The sequence below is a fragment of the Homo sapiens genome, chromosome 2 (genome assembly GCF_000001405.40).
Source record: "Homo sapiens chromosome 2, GRCh38.p14 Primary Assembly".
Lineage (NCBI taxonomy): Eukaryota > Metazoa > Chordata > Mammalia > Primates > Hominidae > Homo > Homo sapiens.
The window spans coordinates 14,399,023-14,422,023 of NC_000002.12; the positions used below are offsets into that span (position 1 = coordinate 14,399,023).

Genomic DNA, 23,001 nt, shown 5'->3' on the forward strand with positions numbered 1-23,001 from the left:
GTTTTGCTTCTTGTAATTTCTTTTTATAAAACCAGGTTCTAAACTCCTCTCACTTCCCATCATCAAATTGGTTCAGTTTGTTTTAGAAAACATTTTGGTATTTATAGCTTAATTTCTGCTGAAATTATACTGCACCAAGTTAGAGTTTAATTCATTTCTTTAAAGGTTGCTACTAGTTTAAACTTCATTATGTTTCAGAGGTAATTTGTCCACCAGATTTGTTTTAGACACATTGTTTTTAAATCACAGGTGCATTTTTAAAAATCAAGGTTTTACATAATTTCAAAAAATTGGGTCATGTTACATTTACTTTTTGTACACAGTTCAGTTTGATTCTCCTTGCTATTTCTAAAAGGACTACTATTCAACAGAGCTCTCAAATCAATGCAACTCATTCAGGGAAGAGGTATTTATGCTCTATCTTTTGCATCCAGCTACAAAGTAGAACTACAGATTGCTACAGGAATCATAATACTACAGAACAATTACATTGATCATGCAGTAGATATAACTGGGCAGGTTTGTTGTTTGTTTTGTTTTGTTTTTGAGACAGAGTCTCACTCTGTCATCCAGGCTGGAGTGCAGTAGCACCATCACAGCTCCCTGCAGCCTCGACCACCAGAATCAGGTGATCCTCCCACTTCAGCCTCCCAGGTAGCTAGGACTACAGGTACACTGCACCATACCTGGCAAATTTTTTGTGTTTTCTGTAGAGAAGAGATTTTTCCATGTTTCCCAGGCTGATCTCAAACTCCTGAGCTCAAGCAATCTGCCCACCTCAGCCTCCCAAAGTGCTGGGATTACAGGTGTGAGCCACCACACCTGGCCTAATTGGGCAGTTTTAATTTCAAACTAAAAGTTACAAATTTCACTAAGCACTAATAAATGCTAAAACAGCAATCATTCCCAAAACCAAAACTAAACTATTTTAACTAAAATAACATCTTTTTAGTTAATAATTCCCCTGGCTGTGCCAAACAATGAAGGATCATGCTTGAGAAAAGAGAAGAAGAAAAAAGCACTGTGATTTGATGAGATGTGTGCTACCCAACTCAAACGCAGTTTTGCCTCTTTGCTGTGGGTGCTGGTGTAAGGAAAGAATCCCTCTGGGCCCCATGCATATCCTCATATGTATCCTCACAAGCCTGGCCCAGATGATGTTCCAGGTTCTTTCCTAATGACTTTTTACAACTATTAGTTTACTCTTAAATAAAGAGCAGAATTGGGTTCATTTCAGACCTCTGCTTTAGATCTGCTGAGGAGGAAGTTTCTTAGTCACATAAGTATCTATAGCTAGGTGTATTATCGCCACATTTGGTATTAAGTTGTGACTTAATAACATAATGAAAATTTAGAATAGATTAGGTTTATTAAATAAAATGCATCGGCCTGTTATGTCAAGACTGTCTCTGAAACTGCTAGGATTCCGAGCAATTGTTTGATGGTATACTCTTACTTGAATGTGGAATTGTTCCTGATTGGCTTACAAAATAGCTCCCCACCGTTCAGAGACCAGGGAGCTCTATTAATGTAGCTCTGGGAATGTGAAAGGTCCTACCTGCCAAGGCCTTCACTCTGACCACAGTACCTTCACTCTGACCTCCATCGGCAAGATGCTAAAAGCTGCACGGAGAACTATGTTCTCCCACTTCCCCAGGCACCTCTGATAATTTATGATCTCCCCTAGGGCAGTTTATTCCATGCAGCTTATCTTTGTTCCAAGTGTTTTTCATTTGAAAATTGCAAACAGATTGCTAAACTAACATTGCAAGTCTTTAGGGTCACTTGCCCACACCCTAAAGATCTCTACCATTACTTACTGGTTATTGCTGCTGAATGATGCCTCCTTTATCTTCATCCTGCTCTTCTGAGTGAGTTTTCTGAAATCCTACATCTTGACTAGACTCACTTACCCATTGGCAAGTCTGGGCTCCCCAAATCCTCCCCTTACAGCCTGTGCAATTTGTAAGCAGTCACCCTCCCTTTATCCTCTTTGCCCAAAGCTTCATGTGACAGATTAAATTCTTGTAATCGCTTTTCCTGTGTCATTCCTCTAATCCTTTTACCATTCTATTTTGCCTTTGTGGTGTTTATTTCTACCATTTTCAAGTTACTTTACTTTGTATGGCAAATAGCAACAGATGCAATGTTCAAATAAGGCAGAGACCTGAATAGGAATTTCAGAGACTCTGTGATAAGGTCAGAGCTCCCAGTAGCATGCTGTGTGACCTTGGACTAGTCAGATATGAGATACCTTCCAGGATTCACTTCAAACCTCCCTGTGTCTTTAAAGAAGCACAGAACAGATTTCTCATTCATGGAAGAGTTTCACATAGCAAGTGGTAGATGCAAATGCTTGGAAATAAATCGTAGGCACTTATTCCAGCCGTAATTATTTATCTTTAATAGTTAATGTTTTCAATAAATGACCTTATGGATTTCTCCATATCAGAGTTGACTTATTTATTGATCCTGATTATTAATATGCATTTTGGTATCAGCATGTCATTTCCTTGAGGGATCAAAGCAAAAGAACCCCAATAAATGTAGACTCATTCTCACAACCTTGCTGAAGTCCATCAAACTAAGGGAGGGAAGTAAAAATGTTTAAAAAAATCCTGGAAAAATTAGTCTGCTTCATTTGTCTAAAACCAGAAAGAAAAAAGTACTAAAGAAAAATGAGAGAGAAAGAAAACCATATTGCCATACTGATCATTCAAGGTTGTTTACCAGAGCTTTCACACCTGCCTCTAACCACTGCCTCCCTCAAGCCCTCCATTTTCCAGGGATCAGAGGAGGGCAAATGAGATCATATATTTGAAGTGTTTGGTCTCCTAGTAGGGAAGGGGTCATATAAATCCTCAATGTTGTCACTTACTATTCTCCCCATGCCTTTGACCTTAGCTCACTGAAAGTAATTTATAACTGGTTGTAAGGGCTCCTGAGAACAGCTTCATCCACCTCAGGGGGAAAGAGGCCCTAGACAGGGAGCACCTGGCAAGTCACACTCCCTTGACCACAGGACTCCCACTCCGCTGCTTGAGTAAACATAATTATCAAGACAATAGCAGCTGTGACTTGTCTTCTGGTGCCAAGAGGTGAGTTATTGTCCGCCAAGGTGGGAGGCTAAATCAGAATGCAGGCTTCCCTCCCCACCTGCCCACGTTTACTCCAGAAAGGGGAGTGAGGGGGAGTGACTTGTGCTGCTTCCGAGTCCTATCCTATAAGCCAGCTCCACAGAAAAATGTTGCTGCCATTGTTTTTATTCTTTAGGTTCAGGGAGGCAAGAAGGGAAAACAGATGCAGAAACTTCCTTTGAGAAGGCTGATAAAATGATTAACAAGCAGTCAAATTAAAAAAAACTTAGTTATATCAATTACCTGCCTCATTTTTTGTAATCATCATTTTGTTCTGAGTCATCCAGCCCAAAAACTCCATCTCTACCTATAGCCAGTTACAATTCTCTATCAGTTGTGCCTCCTAAATAGTATCTAATTCATTCCTTTTTTTCCGCTGCTGTTGCCTTTACTAGGAGCCTAGTATCCTGATTTTAAGAACTCTTCAGAAAACTTCAGGCTGGGCATGGTGGCTCATGCCTGTAATCCCAGCACTTCGGGAAGCTGAGGCAGGAGGATCACTTGAGGTCAGGAGTTCAAGAGCAGAGCCTGGCCAACATGGTAAAATCCCATCTCTAATAAAAAAAAAAAAAAATAGCAGAGCTTGGTGGCATGCACCTGTAGTCCCAGCTACTTGGGAGGCTGAGGCAAAAGAATTGCTTGAGGGTGGGAGGTGGAGGTTGCAGTAAGCCAAGATCACACCACGCACTCCAGCCTGGGTCACAGAGTAAGACTCTATCTCCAAATAAATAAATAAATAAATAAATAAATAAATAAATAAAAAGGATCAGCCTAGAGCAAAGATCCTAATATTGGTACCAGCATATAATGAAGGGACAGCTATGAAGAGGACATGAAAGCCTGAGAGCATCCTGCTGTCATAGACACAGGAGTACAGGGATGGGAACTCCAGCCTGAGGATGAGGAAGAAGGTGTTTAGTTATATCACTAACCAGACACCTGCCTAAAGTGTTTCCTTGGCTCCAGGTATCTGTTCAGCATGAGGCACTTCAGCACACACAATCTAATCTCCAAATATTTTTTCAGTCTCACCTTTTATTCCCCCTCCCACTGCAGTCATCCTATAATCTAAATAAAATATAAAGCAGAGACTTCAAGCCTTTGCTGCCCCATGTCATACCCATTCCCAGGAATACTGTTCAACCCTTACACAATTGGCAAATCCCATTTGGTCTTCACAATTTAAAGGACAGCTCCCTCTTTTGAGATCTTCTTTCTCTTTATAGGCATCTGCCTCTGTACATCAACAAATGGTTTTTCATCTAAATATTATGTTTTTACGTGACAATATTGTAATTATTTATTTTTTTGTTTTCCCCACTAGACTGGGTTTTTCCTCCAGGAAAACCCTGGGTTTTAATAATCATTTTATTTCTAGCATCCAGCACTATGACTGAAATATGTTTGTATAACACATATTTTACTGAATTCAAATTAAACTATATAGAAGGAGGAGGTTACAAGGTGGACATAAGTGAGAATGAGAGAAAAAAATAAGCAAAAGAAATTTAGGAATTAGAGATTTTTTACTCATTATCCTAAAATGTGAGTTTATGTTTCATAATAAGAAGGAGAAGGGAGATGTGATATGATTGATGGGATAGGATGGAATGAAATGGGATGGAATGGGATGAGTACATCCTTTTCATTATACCTCACCAAAAATAATGCTATACTGTATTTGTGCAAAAAAAATGTGTGTATCACTTACTATATGTCACGCATTGTTTTAAGGGTTCAACACACATTAAGTACTTTAAATCTCGTAACAGCGCAATAAAGTAGGTACAATGGTTTGGAATCTTTTACGTTCTTTTGACAACTTCTGACAACTTTTACGTTATCAATTACTAAGAATCCACCAGAGCTTAATTTCTGGGGATTATATCTATAAATATTTTACATATTAGAAATTAAAAACTGCAGAATATAAAAGAATTCATATGTATTAATTTTAAATAATAATATACATCTTAACATAAATGACATTTTATTTTTGAAAAACCATTTTGCAAAATAGAAAAATTATTGAGAGAAGTAGCATTGCTTTACATTTTCCAAATCTTTAATGTCTAGTTACTGGAATTCAGCTAAATTTCCACTTCTGCTTCTGCATGCAATCTGTTGTGATGTGTCATTTTTGTTGAAGTATATGAAGAAAATCTGGCCTTACCTAGGAATGTGGTTAGAAAGAGAAGTTTTTAATAGGCTTCTCACATAATGGTTTATATTTTTTATATACCAAAACTGACAAGTTGTAGTTTCTTAAAGGTTAGTAGTTGTGTGGAATCTGAAACTATATCAATAATCGTTTTCTGCTCTGTTACATTAAAGTCCTTTGATCTACCTTATAGAGTAGAACTATTACTCATGTTTGATTTTGAACACCATGTATTGGTAATTTGAAATGTATGGGCTCATTAAATTATGAAGATCTTTCAAGTGTTGAAACATAGTATCAAATATAGCATCCCCCAAAATCATAGCCATTAATATCACCACCAATCTCATCTGATATATCCTTAAGTATTGGGAAGCTGCCAAGCTCATAGATGAGTTTTCCAAAACTCTTTCACTTCAAAGCTTGAGTTTTATCACTGGCAACAAATATTACCAATTTTTTTTTTTTAGGTAATCAGCTCACTTTATTCACTTTTGAGACTATGCCTGCCAAATACCAAAGTACAGATGAGCTTTGTTCCATCTGTTCATTGTTCTTTTATATAGAAGTAATATTAATGAAAGAAAAATGGCTAGTTTAGCTCACAATGGAAACAATCACAAGAGCTTTTGTAGAGACAACCGTTGTGCTCTACTGTGCAGCAGAAATGCTTTATAAGGACTTCCCATTTGTTAGACAGAATTTTCTTAAAGTGTACTTAAGAGGTTGAGATCTAATACTATTAATATTTACTCTTTTATCAAAAACATTCTTACATTAAACTCTTTTTTTTTCTGCAAGTGTGTGATGGTAAAGAAGGAAACAACTACTAGTGCAGTCTAGTGCCACCAACCTTTTGCAAAATCAGTACAAAAGTAAACACAGTGAAGAAGGCAAAATGTGTCTGTGTTGACTCCTAGATCCATTGAAAGAATTTCAGGGACCCCCAATAGTCTACACTTGATTGAACTTCTAACTTAACACATTTTAGGGATAAGGAATTAGAGTTCATGAGTTTTCACTCACTATCACACAGCTTGTAAATGGTGGACACAGAATTCAAACTCAGGCATCTAAGCTCTATAAGATCTGTAGTATGTACTGTTGTTTCACCATATCATGCTTTCTTTATTCTTTGGATGATTCAGAGCATTTTCAGAAGCAATAATCAAATATGTGATGTTCTTATCTGCTATCTTTAGAACCTAACCCCCAGTGAGATGAAACTCTACCATAAACATGTATTCAACAAATGACAGACAGAACAGTTCTGTAGGCAGATGCCCAGACATGCTAATTTCTTCAGAAGAAAGCCATAAAACAGAAAGGAGCATGGAGATTGTTGGGAGCTTAGAAGAGGCATGAATGGTTTAACTCTGCTGATGACATAATCGGGAACCTGCCCAGTTAGAGGCTTGATCTCCAACCTAGGGATCTTAGGTCAACAATCTCTATCCAGGCTTAAACTCCATCCTGACCCCAGGGCATGTTACTACAAAGAGAGTCATAGTGGACAATTTGCTATATCAGGGACCAGTCATCAGAGGAGAGTTTCTTGTCTTCCATGACCAATTCTACCTGCCTGTTGTATTCACCTTCCTCATTAGTATTTGTCTCCCTCTCTCGACTTCCCAAAGACTGTGCTCCTCTGGCCTTTCACTCTTACCATCATGCGCTCCTTCTTTACACTGGATCATTCTTAACATCTTGTCAACTCCATCTAGTTTCACCCATCTTACAAAACAACAAAACACAAAACTTCCCTGAAGCCACATTGTCCTCCAGGTCCTGCCCATTTCTCAGCCTGTTTCACAGTCAAACATCTTGAAAGAGCTATGTACACACTCTGCATCCACCTCCTCACCTTTCTGTCACTGCACAAACACTCTCCTCTCCTACAGACTGTATGGAAATGACTCTTTCCAGGGTCTCAATCACCTAGTGTTGCCAAACCTGCACTCATTTTACTCAATGTCCCTGGTGCATTGAAACTTCTTGAAACACTCTCTTCTCCAAGCTTCTGTGATCCTAATCTCTATTGTCCCCTCTTACTCCCATTATCAAATGCATCTCCCTGGCTTATGCCAGTGTTTCTTAGCACTCAAGCTTTGCCTACATTACAAGGGGATCTCATCTATTTACACAGCTTTCAATACTCTCTGTGCTAATCCTTCCAAAAGCTTATCTATTCCTGACCTCTTCTTAGAATTCAATCTTGTTTACCCAACTATTTCCTGGATGATTCCATGTCTTTGTCTCATTGGCATCTCAAACTTAACATATCTGATAATGAATTCTTAATTTCACCTCTGAAAACTTTTGAAAACTTTCTTCACCATATGTCCTCACAATCTCAATAAATGGTGCCACCATCCACCCAGCTGTGCAAGTGAAAAATACGGGAGTCATTAAGTTACTTAACCCTCTGCATCACTTCCAAAATTAAATGTATTATCAAGGACTCGTGGTTGTATTTCTAAGGAAATGGGAACGTGTGTATCCATGTGTGCGTGGCCAGGGGGCAGGGGGAATCTGAATTCCGCCTACTCTTCTTCATCTCCACTGCCACCACCACCCTTGGTCAGACCATTGTTTCTACCCACTGTCACCTGTTCTGTTACATGACATCTCTAACTGGTCTCCCTGCTCTCAGTTTTGCATTTCTTCAATCTCTTTCCATTTAGCCACCAGTGATTCCATAAGCATATACATTGGATTAATATCGCTCCACTACTTAAAAGTCCTCAATTTATTTTCCATTTTAGCATCATATTGAGTCATGTTACCCATTATCAAGGAGGCAACAATTATTTAACTTCTTCCTAATTTCTAGAACACGCCAAGACATTTTGTTTTAGGGCCTTGGTCACACTTGTCCCATCTGCCTGGAAGGCTCTTCATTTAACCCAAAGCTTTGGCTTCTTTCTACCCCTCAGGCCTCAGCTCAAATGTAACCTACCCAGTGAAGTCTAATACTTTATTCTTCATCATGGAAACACATTCATGTCTATTTTGTATCTTGTAATAATTTACTTATTTGTTAGTTATCTTGTTTATTTTTGTTTCCTCCAGTATCCTTAGCTCTATTAACTCAGGAGCTAATACTCTGTTTGGTCTGCTTCTTTATAACTGAGGTCTTTCACAAGACTTGGCTCAATAAGTACGCATTAAGCCAGTGAATAATATTCTATCCTATCTCGTGATGTCTAGTCTACTGTGTGAAATTTAGAGAAAACTTTCCTCTTAAAAAATTGTATACTATATATGATGGTCTAAAATAGAATCAGGGAGCCTGGTGCGGTGGCTCACGCCAGTAATCCCAGCACTTTGAGAGGCCGAGGTGGGCAGATCACCTGAGATCAGGAGCTCGAGACCAGCCTGACCAACATGATAAACCCTTTCTCTACTAAAAATACAAAAAAATAGCTGGGTGTGGTGGTGCATGCCTGTAATCCCAGCTACTCGGGAGGCTGAAACACAAGAATTGCTTGAGCCCAGAAGTTGGGGGTTGCAGTGAGCTAAGATCGTACCACCGCACTCCAGCCTGGGTGACAGAGCCAGACTCCATCTAAAATAATGAATTAATTAGTTAATTAAAATAAAATAGAATCAGGGTCTAAACCCAACCACTGTTAAAATTATGGTTGGGTTTCAAAGAGCTATATGTTGACTTTTGGATTTCAAATGTTCATTGTTACTCTGATAGGTGAGTTTAAATTTGTTTTAATATGTGTCACACTCCTAGGTACTTTTCTAAATACTTTGTATATTTTAATTTATCTTTTCACCCAATAACCTCATGGAATAGTGAAAGAAACCAAAATGTTCACCCCAAAATATTGAGGATTGCTAATGACACTGAAAACTCAGGGAAACACTCTGCCTCCACTTCTATTTGCCTGATCACAGGACATAAATCCTTCCTTACTGAAAACAGCACTTGTGTGTTGTCCCAGAGAAGGCACCAGCAGGCACCAACAGGATCTGGAAACTGATTTTACCATCTTTCCACATTCTCCCACCTTTTAAAAGACCAAAATTGCTCTCTCCTTTGCCTTGCCACTAAGTAGGATTTCTGGCTCTTTGTGAAAATACTATTTAAGCAAACCCTCTAAGCTACCACCTTGAGAGAGAAATACTTTTGAGTAGAGGCCTTTCCCACACAATTGGTACAGTGTACATTAATGTATTTCTGCTTGTTTTTGTTTTGTTAATCTGACTTTTGGTTTCAAGAGAGTATCTCAACTGAGAACCTAAAAAGGAAAAAAATATTATATTTTATCTTCTACAATAGGTATGTATTTTATCCCTATCATACAGATGAGAAAATTGAGGCACACAGGGTTTTTTTTGTAAGAAAGTTGATTAAAATGACATAACTAGGAATCCCGAGAGGACCCACACACCCTTGGAAAAAAGCAGACTGCTCTGCAGGACCCGGGAGACACTCCAAATACTGTGCTGGTATCCACGGCTGAGAGACCCATAGATGGTTCACATCACAGGACTCTGTGCAGACAGCCCCCAGTACCAGCTTGAAGCCAGTAGATTTGCTGGGTGGCTAGACCAAGAAGAGAGATAACAATCACTGCAGATTGGCTCACAGGAAGCCACATCCTCAGGAAAAGGGGGAGAGTACTACATCAAGGGAACACCCCATGGATCAAAAGAACCTGAACAACAGCCTTCAGCCCTAGACCTTCCCTCTGACAGAGACTACCCAAAAGACAGGGAACCAGAAAATCAACTCTGGTAATATGACAAAACAAAGCTCTTTAACACCCCCCAAAAAATCACACTAGTTCACCAGCAGTGGATCCAAACTAAGAAGAAATCTCTGATTTATTTGAAAAATAATTCAGGAGGTTAGTTACCAAGCTAATCAGGGAGGCATCAGAGAAAGGCAAAGCCCAATGCAAGGAAATCCTAAAAAACTATACAAGAAGCAATGAAAGAAATATTCAAGGAAATATATAGCATAAAGAAAAACTAACCAAATCTTCAGGAAATATTGGATACACTTACAGAAGTGCAAAATGCTCTGGAAAGTCTCAACAATAGAGTTGAACAAGTAGAAGAAAGAAATTCAAAGCTCAAAGACAAGGTCTTCAAATTAACCCAATCCAACAAAGACAAAGAAAAAAGAATAAGAAAATATGAACAAAGCCTCTAAGAAGTCTGGGATTATGTTAAATGACAAAACCTAAGAATAATTGGTGTTCCTGAGGAAGAAGAGAAATCCAAAGTTTGAAAAATATATTTTAGGGAATAATCGAGGAAAACTTCCCTGGCCTTGCTAGAGACACAGACATCCAAATACAAGAAGCACAAAGAACACCTGGGAAATTCATCACAAAAAGATCATCACCTAGGCACATTATCATCAGGGTATCTAAAGTTAAGACGAAGGAAAGAATCTTAAGAGCTGTGAGAAAAAGCACCAGGTAACCTATAAAAGAAAACCTATCAGATTAACAGCAGATTTCTCAACAGAAACCCTACAGGCTAGAAGGAATTGGGGCCCTATCTTTAGCCTCCTCAAACAAAACAATTATCAGCCAAGAATTTTGTATCCAGCGAAACTAAGCATCATATATGAAGGAAAGATACAGTTGTTTTTCAGACTAACAAATGAGAGATTTTGCCAGTACCGAGCCACCAGTACAAGAAATGCTAAAAGGAGCTCTAAATCTTGAAACAAATCCTGGAAACATATCAAAATAAAACCTCTTTAAAGCATAAATCACACAGGACCTATAAAACAAAAATACATGTTAAAAAGCAAAAAAAAAAAAAAAAAATCAAGGTATGCAGGCAAAAAATAGCACGATGAATGAAATGGTACCTCATATCTCAACATTAACATTGAATTTAAAAGGCCTAAATGCTCCACTTAAAGGGTACAGAACTGCAGAATGGATAAGAACTCACTAACCAACTACCTGCTGCCTTCAGAACACTCACCTAACACATAAGGACTCACATAAACTGAAAGTAAAGCGGTGGGAAAAGGCAGTTCATGCAAATGGACATCAAAAGCGAGCAGGGGTAGCTATTCTTGTGTATGACAAAACAAACTTTAAAGCAACAGCAGTTAAAACAGGCAAAGAGGGACATTATATAATGGTAAAAGGCCTTGTCCAACAGGAAAATATCACAGTCCTAAACATATATGCACCTAACACTGGAGCTTCCAAATTTATAAAACAATTACTAATAGACCTAAGAAATGAGATAGACAGCAACATCATAATAGTGGGGGCTTTAATACTCCACTGACAGCACTAGACAGTTCGTCAAGACAGAAAGTCAACAAAGAAACAATGGATTTAAACTATAACTTGGAACAAATGGACTTAACAGATATATACAGAACATTTCAACTAACAACCAAAGAATACATATTCTATTCAACAACGCATGGAACTTTCCCCAAAATAGACCACATGATAGGCCATCAAATGAACCTCAATAAATTTAAGAAAAATTGAAATTATATAAAGCACTCTCTCAGATCACAATGGAATAAAACTGGAAATCAACTCCAAAAGGAACCTTCGATACCATGGAAATTAAATAACCTGTCCCTGAATAAGCATTGGGTCAAAAACGAAATCAAGATGGAAATTAAAAAATTATTCGAACTGAACAACAATGACACAACCTCTCAAAACCTCTGGGATACAGCAAAGGGGGTGCTAAGAGGAAAGTTCATAGCCCTAAACGCCTACATCAAAAAGACTGAAATAGCACAAACTGACATTTTAAGGTCACACCTTAAGGAGCTAGAGAAACAAGAACAAATCAAACCCAAACCAAGCAGAAGAAAGGAAATAACCAATGTCAGAGCAGAACTAAACGAAATTGAAACAACAAAAATACTAAAGATAAATGAAACAAAAAGCTGGTTCTTTGAAAAGATAAATAAAAAGATAAATAAAATCAATAGACCATTAGCAAGATTAACCAAGAAGAGAGAAAATTCAAATAACCTCATTAAGAAATGAAATGGGAGATATTACAACTGTCACCACTGAAATACAAAAGATCATTCAAGGCTACTATGAACACCTTTATACACATAAACTAGAAAACCTAGAAGAGATGGATAAATTCCTGGAAAGATAAAACCCTCCTAGCTTAAATCAGGCAGAATTAGATACCCTGAACAGACCAATAACAAGCAGTGAGATTAAAATAATAATTAAAAAATTACCAACAAAAAAAAGTCCAGGAGCAGACAGATTCACAGAATTCTACCAGACATTCAAAGAATTGGTAGCAATCTTTTTGACACTATTCCACAAGATAGAGAAAGAGAGAACCCTCCCTAATTCATTCTATGAAGCCAGCATAACCCTAATACCAAAACCAGGAAAGAAGATAACTGAAAAAGAAAAACTACAGACCAATATCCTTGATGAACATCAATGCTGAAATCCTTAACAAAATACTAGCTAACTGAATCCACCAACATGTCAAAAAGATAATCTGCCATGATCAAGTGGGTTTCATACCAAGGGTGCAGAGATGGTTTAACATATACAAGTCAATAAATGTGATACACCACAAAAACAGAATTAAAAACAAAATTCACATGATCATCTCAATAGATGCAGAAAAAGCATTCAACAAAACCCAGCAACCCTTTATGATTAAAACTCAGCAAAATCAGCACACAAAGGATATACCTCAATGTAATAATAGCCTTCTATAACAAATCCACAGCCATCATAATGATGAATGGGGAAAAGTTAAAAGCATTCCCTCTGAAAACTGGAACAAGACAAGGACACCCACTCTCATCACTCCTCTTCAACATTGTACTGGAAGTCCAAGCCAGAGCAATCAGACAAGAGAAAAAAATAAAGGGCATCCAAGTCAGTAAAGAGGATGTCAAGCTGTCACTGTTTGCTGACGATATGATCATTTACCTCAAAAACCCTGAAGACTCCTCCAAAAAGCTCCTAGAACTGGTAAAATATTGAGCAACGTTTCCTAATAGAAGATCAGTGTACACAACTCAGTAGCTCTTCTATACACCAACGACAACCAAGCTGAGAATCAAATCAAGAACTCAACCCATTTTACAACAGCTGCAAATAAAAAAACAAAATACTTAGAAATATACCAAATCAAAGAGGTGAAAGACCTCTATAAGGAAAACTACAAAACACTGCTGAAAGAAATCATAGATGACACAAACAAATGGAAACATATCCCATGCTCATGGATGGGTAGAATCAGTACTGTGAAAATGACCATACTACCCAAAGCAATCTACAAATTCAGTGCAATCCCAATCAAAATACCATCATCATTCTTCACAGAATTAGGAAAAAAAATTTTAAATTCATATAGAACCAAAAAAGAACCTGCATAGCCAAAGCAAGACTAAGCAAAAACAACAAATCTGGAGGCATCACACTACCTGATTTCAAACTATACTATAAAGCCACAGTCACCAAAACAGCATGGTACTGGTATAAAAACAGACACACAGACCAATGGAACAGAATAAAGAACCCAGAAATAAAGCCAAATACTTACAGCCAACTCATCTTTGACAAAGCAAACAAAAACATAAAGTGAGGAAAGTACATCCTTTTCAACAAATGGTGCTGGGATAATTGGCTAGCCACATGTAGGACAATGAAACTGGATCCTCATCTCTCACCTTATACAAAAATCAACTCAAGATGGACTAAGGACTTAAATCTAAGATGTGAAACTATACAAATTCTAGATGATAACATTGGAGAAACCCTTCCAGACATTGGCTTAGGCAAGGATTTCATGACCAAGAACCCAAACACAAATGCAACAAAAACATAGATAAATAGTTAGGACTTAATTAAACTAAAGAGCTTTTGCACGGCAAATGGAATGGTCAGCAGAGTAAACAGACAACCTACAGAGTAGGAGAACATCTACACAACCTACACGATCTGACAAAGGACTAATATCCAGAATCTACAATGAACTCAAACAAATCAGTAAGAAAAAACAAATGAACCCATCAAAAAGTGGGCTAAGGACATGAATAGACAATTCTCAAAAAATGATATACAAATGACCAACAAACATATGAAAAAATGCTCATCATCACCATTGATCAGGAAAATGCAAATCAAAACCGTGATGCCACACCACCTTACTCCCGCAAGAATGGCCATAATCAAAACAATCCAAAAAACAATAGAAGTTGTCATGGATGCAGTGATCAGGGAACACTTCCACACTGCTGGTGGAAATGTAAACTAGTACAGCCACTATGGAATACAGCGTAGAGATTCCTTAAAGAACTAAAAGTAGTATTACCATTTGATCCAGCAATCCCACTACTGGGTATCCACTCAGAGGAAAAGAAGTCATTATACAAAAAGGATACTTGCAGATGCACGTTTAGAGCAGCACAATTCGCAATTGCAAAATTGTGGAACCAACCCAAATGCCCATCAATCAACGAGTGGATAAAGAAACTGTGGTGTATATATATGATGGAATACTACTCAGCCATAAAAAGGAATGAATTAATGGCATTTGCAGTGACCTGGGTGATTGGAGACTATTATTCTAAGTGAAGTAACTCAGGAATGGAAAACCGAACATCGTATATTCTCACTGATATGTGGGAGCTAAGCTAGGAGGATGCAAAAGCATAAGGATACAATGGACTTTGAGGACTTGGGGGGAAGGGTGGGAAGGGGATGAGGGATAAAAGACTACAAATATGGTGCGATGTATACTGCTCAGGTGATGGGTGCTTCAAAATCTCAAAAATCACCACTAAAGAACTTACTCATGTAACCAAATACCACCTGTACCCCAATAACTTAAGAAAAATAAAAATAATAAGAATAACTAAAAAACAAATAAAATGGCATAACTAGTATGTGGTAGACACATGATTTGAACTCAGGGAAGCTGGCACAAGGGTCTATGTTCTTAAGCACTGCTCTCTGCTGCCTTCCATGGGGTACCTTCCCTAGTTGCATTGGAAAGAACATAGGATTAGGAATCAGAGACTTGGCTGGGTCTAATTCCAGGTTTTCTACTAACACATCTGTCAAGGGAGGTGAGACTTTCTTCTCTTTGTGTTTGTTTGGTTTTACTCTCCAGCGAGTGTGGGAGGTGCAGAGATAATAACAATATATTCTAATAAGCAGTATAATAGAGTTAAGAACCTAGGCCTGTGGGAATATGGAAAAGGCAAGCAGCTAATTTACCTGGGGACACTCCAGAAGTTTTCATTTAAGAAGCTAATTTTTGAGCTGCAAAAGAGGGTGGAGGTGATAAGTATAAGGAAAAAGAAGAAAGATGATAGTTAACACTTACTGAGTGCTATCTGTGTACAAGGAACTGCTTTATTATCTTTTAATTATCAATTATTTAAATGATCACAGTAACTCTATAAGCTATGTATTAGTTCGTTCTCACACTTCTATAAATAACTACTTGAGACTGGGTAATGTATAAAGAAAAGAGATTTAATGGACTCTCAGTTCCACAGGAGGTATAGGACACATGGCTGGCGAGGCCTCAGGAAACTTACTATCATGGCAGAAGGTGAAGAGGAAGCACGCACATCTTCACATGGTGGCAGGAGAGAAAAGGACGGAAGTGTGAAGTGCTACATACTTTTAAACAACCAGATCTCATGAGAACACACTCACTTTCATAAGAACAGCAAGGGGGAAATCCGCCCCCACGATCCAATCACCTTCCACCAGGTCCCTTCCCCAACATTGGGAATTATAATTTGACATGAGATTTGGGTGGGGATACAGAGCCAAACTACATGAAGCTAGATATTTTCATTATTCCAATATTTTAAAAAAGGAGAAATTCAGCTTCAAGATGTATGATAATTTTCTGAAAGCCACACAGCAAAGGCCAAGCTAGTGTTCAAATCTTAACTACTACATATAATAGAAAGCCTTCAGGTATGAGTCAGTGTTTTGGGGGTAGAAAACTGAGAAAGGGAATTCTAATCAAAGGAATAACCACACACAAAGGCACAGCAATGAGGAAAATCTTGAAGTGTCTGAAAAAGTGAGAAGTTTATAATCTTTGAGGTTTATTCTTCACAAAAAGTACCATCAGGAGATGGGGCTTAAGAGGAAAATCGGAATATGATGGTGAAAACCTTGGGTTTAGATGAAATGAAAGTTTATATGGATTGGATCTGTGTCTCTGACCAAATCTCATGTCAAATTATAATCTCCAGTGCTGGAGGTGGGGCCCGGTGGGAGGTGATTTGATCATGGGGGCAAATTTCCCTCTTGGTACTGTCTTCGTGTTAGTGAGTTCTTGTGAGATCTGGTTGTTTAAAAGTGTGCAGCACCTCCCCACTCTTTCTCTTGCTCCTGCTCTGGCCATGTGAGATGATCCTGCTTCCCCTTTGTCTTCTGCCATGATTGCTGGCTTCCTGAGGTTTCCCTAGAAGCCAAGCAGATACCAGCATTATGTTTTCTGTATATACTATGGAACCATGAGCCAATTAAACCACTTTTCTTTATAAATTACCCCAGTCTCAGATATTTCTTTATAGCAATACAGGAATAGACTAATATAGTAGGCCATTAGGGTATTTTTAATCATACAGTGGTGGGGAAAGGGGTTGTTATCAGACTTGCATTTTAGGAGCACGGCTTAGGCAGCAGTGTTGATGAGGTACTGGAGTAGTGAGTGGTCTGAGAAAGCAACAGAAGTGAATTATAGCCCTTTATCCACTCCACCTGGACTTCTGGCAGGCTAGGACCACACTCCACTTCTCTCTCTAGCTCTTACAGCAACAGATGTGTGAGCCTTGAAAAGAGATCTAATGAGTAGAATTAAATGTTTAGAACTACTTCTCAAAGATAATTCTATTGCTTTTGGATAGATATAGATCTACTTTTATTTTTGCATATGATTTTTGTATAGCATCTATGTTTTAATAAATTAGTATGTAGTTCCCCTTTTTCTCCAAGTTAATGGGTGTCTTTTCCAATATCCAATTTAAAATTATTTATCCTTTTACCTCATTTAATGGATTGGCTGAAATAGAAAGATTTTAAGTTTATGAAACTCTGTATAATTTGCCAGAATTTAAAGATCAGAAAAATTTAAACTTAAGTTGGAGGCCTTTAGTTGGGTTCATCATCCTTTCAGACTTATTGATCATAAAACCCTATTATTGATAGTATTTACACATACTATAAAGACATTATGCTGGATAATTTATATAAAACATTTAATATGAAATTTTAAGTGATGGCAATCTCCAACTTTACAATAAAACCAAAGTTCAGGAATATAAATTCACTTGCCGGCTTGGCACAGTGGCTCACACCTGTAATCCCAGCACTCTGGGAGGCCCAGGCAAGAGGATCTCTTGATGTCAGGAGTTTGAGACCAGCCTGGCCAACATGGTGAAACCCCATCTCTACTAAAAATACAAAAATTAGCCAGGCATAGTGGTGCATGCCTGTCGTCCCAGCTACTTGGGAGGTTGAGACAGGAGAATAGCTTGAACCTGGGAGGCAGAGGTTGTAGTGAGCCAAGATCGCACCATTGCATACCAGCCTGGGCAACAGAGTGAGACTCCATCTCAAAAAAAGGAAAAATTAAAAAATAAATAAAATCACTTGCCCAGTTTTGCACTACCAGTCAGCAGCAAAAGCAAGAATCAAACTCAGACTGTTCCCAGCACAAACTGTGCATGCTTCCCCTTTCCTTCTGCCACCTCCCTCCAACCAAAACCAATGCCAACCCTTATGTCTTCACTCTTCCAAAATCACAATCAGTAACATGATTCACTTCAACTTCATTGTTTTTTAAAAATGCAGTTTCCATGGAAAAACTTTCCTCCCACTCCAGGATTTATAATCCTGCTCTCAGGACCAAAGCACATTTTTTCTTTTCTTAGCCAAGTTAATTACCAGCTTTGATTGGGAGCACCTGAAAATTTCCAGCTCATATCTGCTTAACAGGAGTGTGCTATGTAGTTGGAAGACCAAATCGAGTCAATACTCCAGGGTTTCAGAACTACTAATCCGTTAGCCAAAGTCACTGAATGATGGAGAGATTAGCATATAAGTACTTTTCTAAGTGCTTTGCATATTTGACAGTATTTTATTCATTTAGAATATATTTTGAGATATATGGAGATAGTTTTATTGTCAATGTCAGTGAAATCTACCTTCCTCTGTTTCCATTGTTGCGGACTTACTTCAGGGCTTTGCCTCTTGCATAACCATTCTTGCATGGCCAATAAACATGTGGCATTTATCAATTATTAATTCACTTAGCATACACTACTGAGAGCCAGCTTCCTGTCAGACTTGTTCACATATGTGCTACCATTTTGCCTTCAAATCAATGTGAGAGATGTTTCATTCTCCCTCCTCCATCATATAAGTAATATGGAAGCCAGAAAATAACTTACCATATGACTCAACACAGTGGAGACAGAGCCAGACTTGAAAACCAGCATTCTCCTAGTTTTTCTTTATACCTTAAAGCAGGAGAGCTCTGAGCTCGTGGCTGTGGGAGGAATCCATGCGGTGAAGAGCAAGGGGAAAAAGAGCACCGGAAAATACTTTCCACTTTTACCACAGCCGTAGCCAGTCACCTGTTTCTCTGGTAGCCCCTGTATTTCCCCTAAGAGGCATCAGCTGTCAGAGGCTAGAAGCGAGAAGGATCTCTGAAGGTGGGAAAGCTTGGCCTTGGAACAAGAGTAAGATTTTAAAAAATGAAGAGAACAGCAGAAGGAAACTATGATTTGATGAAGTGTCAATAGAAGGAATGTGACATTATTGAGTGTTTAAGATCTTTACAGGCATTCTGCTAGACATTTTCACTTGCATTATTTCATTAAATCTTACAAAACTACTACATTATTAGTCCCACTTTAGATATGAGGAAACTGAAGTTAAGGGGGAGTAAATGTCTTGCCTCAAATCACACAGCTAGAAAGTGGTAAATGCAGAAGCAAAACCTGAATAACTGAGTGCCCACAATGAGTCAATTTCTGAAGACTCTGGAATGAAAGACAAAACATACTAGGAAGCTTTGGGTGGGGGTTGGGGACAGACACATACTCTCATATAAGCAAAAATAGTTCACTAGGAAAACAGAGAAGGGACTCCAACCCAGGCTGGGAAGTCATGAAAAGACCTATTTTATATTTTTAATTTGCTTTATTTTTAAATTTTAGATTCAAGAGGTATGTGTGCATGTTTGTTACATTGATATATTGTGCGATGCTGAGGTTTGAGTTTCAACTGAATGCATATCTCAAGTGGTGAACATAATAGTTGACAGGTAGTTTTTCAACCCTTGCCTCCTTCCCTCCCCACTTTTGGAAAAGATCTTTGGATCCTTGAAGAAAGAGGTAGCTGAGGCTAGTTTAAAGCAACACTTGGGTGAAAGAATCAAGCCAGACACCCAGGAGAATTAGAACGTTAGTTTGGGCAGGTGTTTTAGAGTTTGGAATCACCTGCTAAGAAGTTTGGGCATGATTCTAAAGGCAGTGTGGTATCTATAAGTCTATCTATTCATCCATCTCACTGGTTCTATCTCTCTGAAGAACCCTAATACAAGGGGTTAAGAGCTAAGCGGGTGTGTCCTCTCCGCTGGAGACAGGCTTCAGTCTGATTCCACCTGGAAGCTCCAGGGTACAAGTTGCAATGTGAATTCCACCTACCTGGAGGTGTTTGTGTTTGGCTGAGAGCAATTGTCAAAGAAGGGTCAGCAACGAATTGCTGTCAGTATCTGGGAGACAGGTCAGCAACTGGTAAAGATATCAGGATGAGCACCAAGAGCTTCCACTACAGTAGTGGCTTTCAAAGTGCATTACACTGGGGGCCAGACACGGTGGCTCACGCATGTAATCCCAGCACTTTGGGAGGCCGAGGCACCTGAGGTCAGGAGTTCAAGATCAGCCTGGTCAACGTGGAGAAACCCCGTCTCTACTAAAACAAAAAACAAAAAACAAAAAAACCTAGCTGGGCATGGTAGTGCGTACCTCTAATCCCAGCTACTTGGGAGACTGAGGCAAAAGGATCGCTTGAACCCAGGAGGCAGAGGTTGCAGTGGGCTGAGATCATGCCACTGCACTCCAGCCTGCATGACAGAGTAAGTCTCTATCTCAAAAAAAAAAAAAAAGTGCATTACACTGGGAATGTCTTAGAAATGCAATCCTTTGGGCTTCACCCAGGCATACTAAATCTGAAATTCTAGGAGATTAAGAGGAAAAAAAAGCTGAGGCTTAGACAGCTTTATTACTGCCAGAGGCCACCTAGCTAGTTAGTACTCAAAATTAAATTTAAGTTTATCTGCACTCTAATCCTATGCTTTTTCCTCCATGCAAGTGTTTCTCAAAATGTAGTCACTTGACCAAATGCAACTACATGACTTACAGCATTTCTAGGGCTTGGGCACCAAGAATCTGAACTTGTAGCAACTTCCCCAAGTCTTTGTGTTATGCCCAATCTAATTTTTGAGGACCACTCATCAGTTCCATGTGCTTCCCTAACTCTGAAAACCAAAGTTGGAGCCTGCAGAAATATGCTTCATTCCAGCCCAATGTCAGGAGTAGACAACACAGGAAAGACAGGAAGGGGCAGTGCTTGCTCTGAAGACCCAGCCATAGGGCTTTAGGAGTTGTTGAAGCCAAATGTATTGAATAGCTATTATGGGTTGACTCGCGTGTCCAAAAATCTATGTTAAAGTTCTAATGCCCAGTACCTCAGAATATGACTTTCTGTGGGTTTTTATAAGTGTTAAGTAGTTAAGATAAGGCCATAGATGAGGTCATACTGGAGTAAGGTGGCCCTTAATTCAATATGGCTGGTGTCTATATTAGAAGAGGGAAGACAAAATGAAGACAGATACACAAGGAGAGCCCCATATGATGACAGAGGCAGAGATTGGAGAGCAAGTCAAGGACATCAAGGCTTGGCAGCCACCACGGGGAGCTAGGAAGAGAGGTGAGGAAGAATTCCACCCGGAGCATCAGAGGCAGCACAACCCTGTGGACATCTTATTTCAGATGTCACAGCTCTAGAACCATAGGATACTAAAATTCTATTGTTTTAAGTCACCTAACTTGTGATACTGGGTGTATAAAAACCCCAGGAAACATACAAGAGCTGATGAGTTAATGATGGAGAAATTTAATGCTCCTTTCCTTCTTGTCTGGAGCTTAAGCCGTTCTTATTTCTCCATAAGGAAAGCTTGGGTTTGAAGTCTCTGGGACTGAATATATGCTATCAAACCTTAACAGTGTTTATCTTCACAGAACACTGATGAAAGCTCTTGGGCTTCCCCTCCTCCATTTCCATCATATGAATATAAATCTTTGCTAGGGATTGTCTGTCTCTCCCGTTGCCTTTACCGTGAGGAGAAGCTCTTAGGCACACCCTTGCTGCAGTCCTTCTGCAAGGTTGCTACATACCACATACCCAATTCCATCATAACTAGCAATTTCTAGAACAGGGTTATCAGTTTTCTGAGAGGAAATTTTAAAAATTTAAAACACACACACACACACACACATACACACACATGCACATGACATTTTAAAAACCTTGCCTCTGTGGTCAGTATAAACGGACAAATATCAAGGCCGGACGCCCTTTGATGTGGAAATGTCTGTGATGCCTGACAGGACCCAACATTTGTAAATCAGGAATTGAAGCTAATACTGACTGCAGGAGATAAGGCAGAGCCAAACTTCCACTTCCATCACCTCAGAATAAGTGTCAGTCCTTCTAAAGGCGCATTTTGAGTGCGAATCACAGGATGAGTCAGACCAAGTGTTCTTATTTAGATAGTAGTGAAATCAGGCCTTAGAGAATTGTTAGTCAGCAAAACTAAATTTTAGTAAGGCCATGCTCTGGGAAAGGAAATGAAGAGATCTGAAACCAAATTTAGACCTTCCAGAGACCAAAAACAGCAAGGTATAGAAAAGAAAGATCCAAGCCTTGCTTCTCCTGCCTAATGTGAACAGGAGAGAGGCTGGAGCAGGTGGCAGGAAGAGGAAGACTCACTCACTTTGCAAAATTCTGTGAGCTCCTTACAACCACACAAACAGCATCAAAACACTTTCTTACTGGATTTAGAATGGCTGAAATCCAGAACATTGACACTACCAGCCCTAGAAAGAATGCAGGGCAACGAAAACTCTCATTCATTGCTGGTAGGAATGCAAAATAGTACATCCACTTTGGAAAACAGTTTGGCTGTTTCTTACAAAGCTAAACATACTCTTACCATAAAATCTAGCAATCATGCTCTTTGATATTTACCCAGAGGAGTTAAAAACTTATGTCTACACAAATGTTTATAGCAGCTTTATTCATACGTGTCAAAATTTGAACAACCAAGACATCCTTCAGTAGTTTGATGAATAAATAAACTGTGGTACATCCAGATAGTGGAATATTATGCAATGCTAAAGGGAAATGAGCTATCATGTCAAGAAAATACATGGAGGAAACTTAAATTCATGCTACTAAGTTAGCCAAGTCAATCTGAAAAGATCACTATTGTACATTTCCAGGTATATGACATCTAGAAAAGGCAAAATTATGGAGATGGCAAAAAAAATTCTACGTTTGCCAGAGATTAGGGAAAGGAATGAATTGGCAGAACACAGAGGATTTTTAGAGCAGTGAAACTAATTTTTATGATACGATAATGGTTAATATATGT

General features: G+C 38.8%; 1 long non-coding RNA gene across 1 annotated transcript in view, besides 1 other annotated feature; it reads right to left on the reverse strand.

Moving 5' to 3' along the window:
• LINC00276 (long intergenic non-protein coding RNA 276) overlaps window positions 1-1,936 on the reverse strand; it is a 172,085-nt gene extending 170,149 nt beyond the window's left edge. Inside the window, exon 1 of the long non-coding RNA NR_103814.2 lies at window positions 1,821-1,936. This is a non-coding gene — a long non-coding RNA (long intergenic non-protein coding RNA 276). The remainder of the gene's footprint in view (window positions 1-1,820) is intronic.
• Window positions 2,781-3,338: an enhancer, noted in NCBI's record as "OCT4-NANOG hESC enhancer chr2:14541927-14542484 (GRCh37/hg19 assembly coordinates)". NCBI's record gives its function as "activates a minimal SCP1, AML or CMV promoter by ChIP-STARR-seq in naive H9 embryonic stem cells {active_cell/tissue: H9 hESC(naive)}" and the evidence as "EXISTENCE:reporter gene assay evidence [ECO:0000049][PMID:30033119]".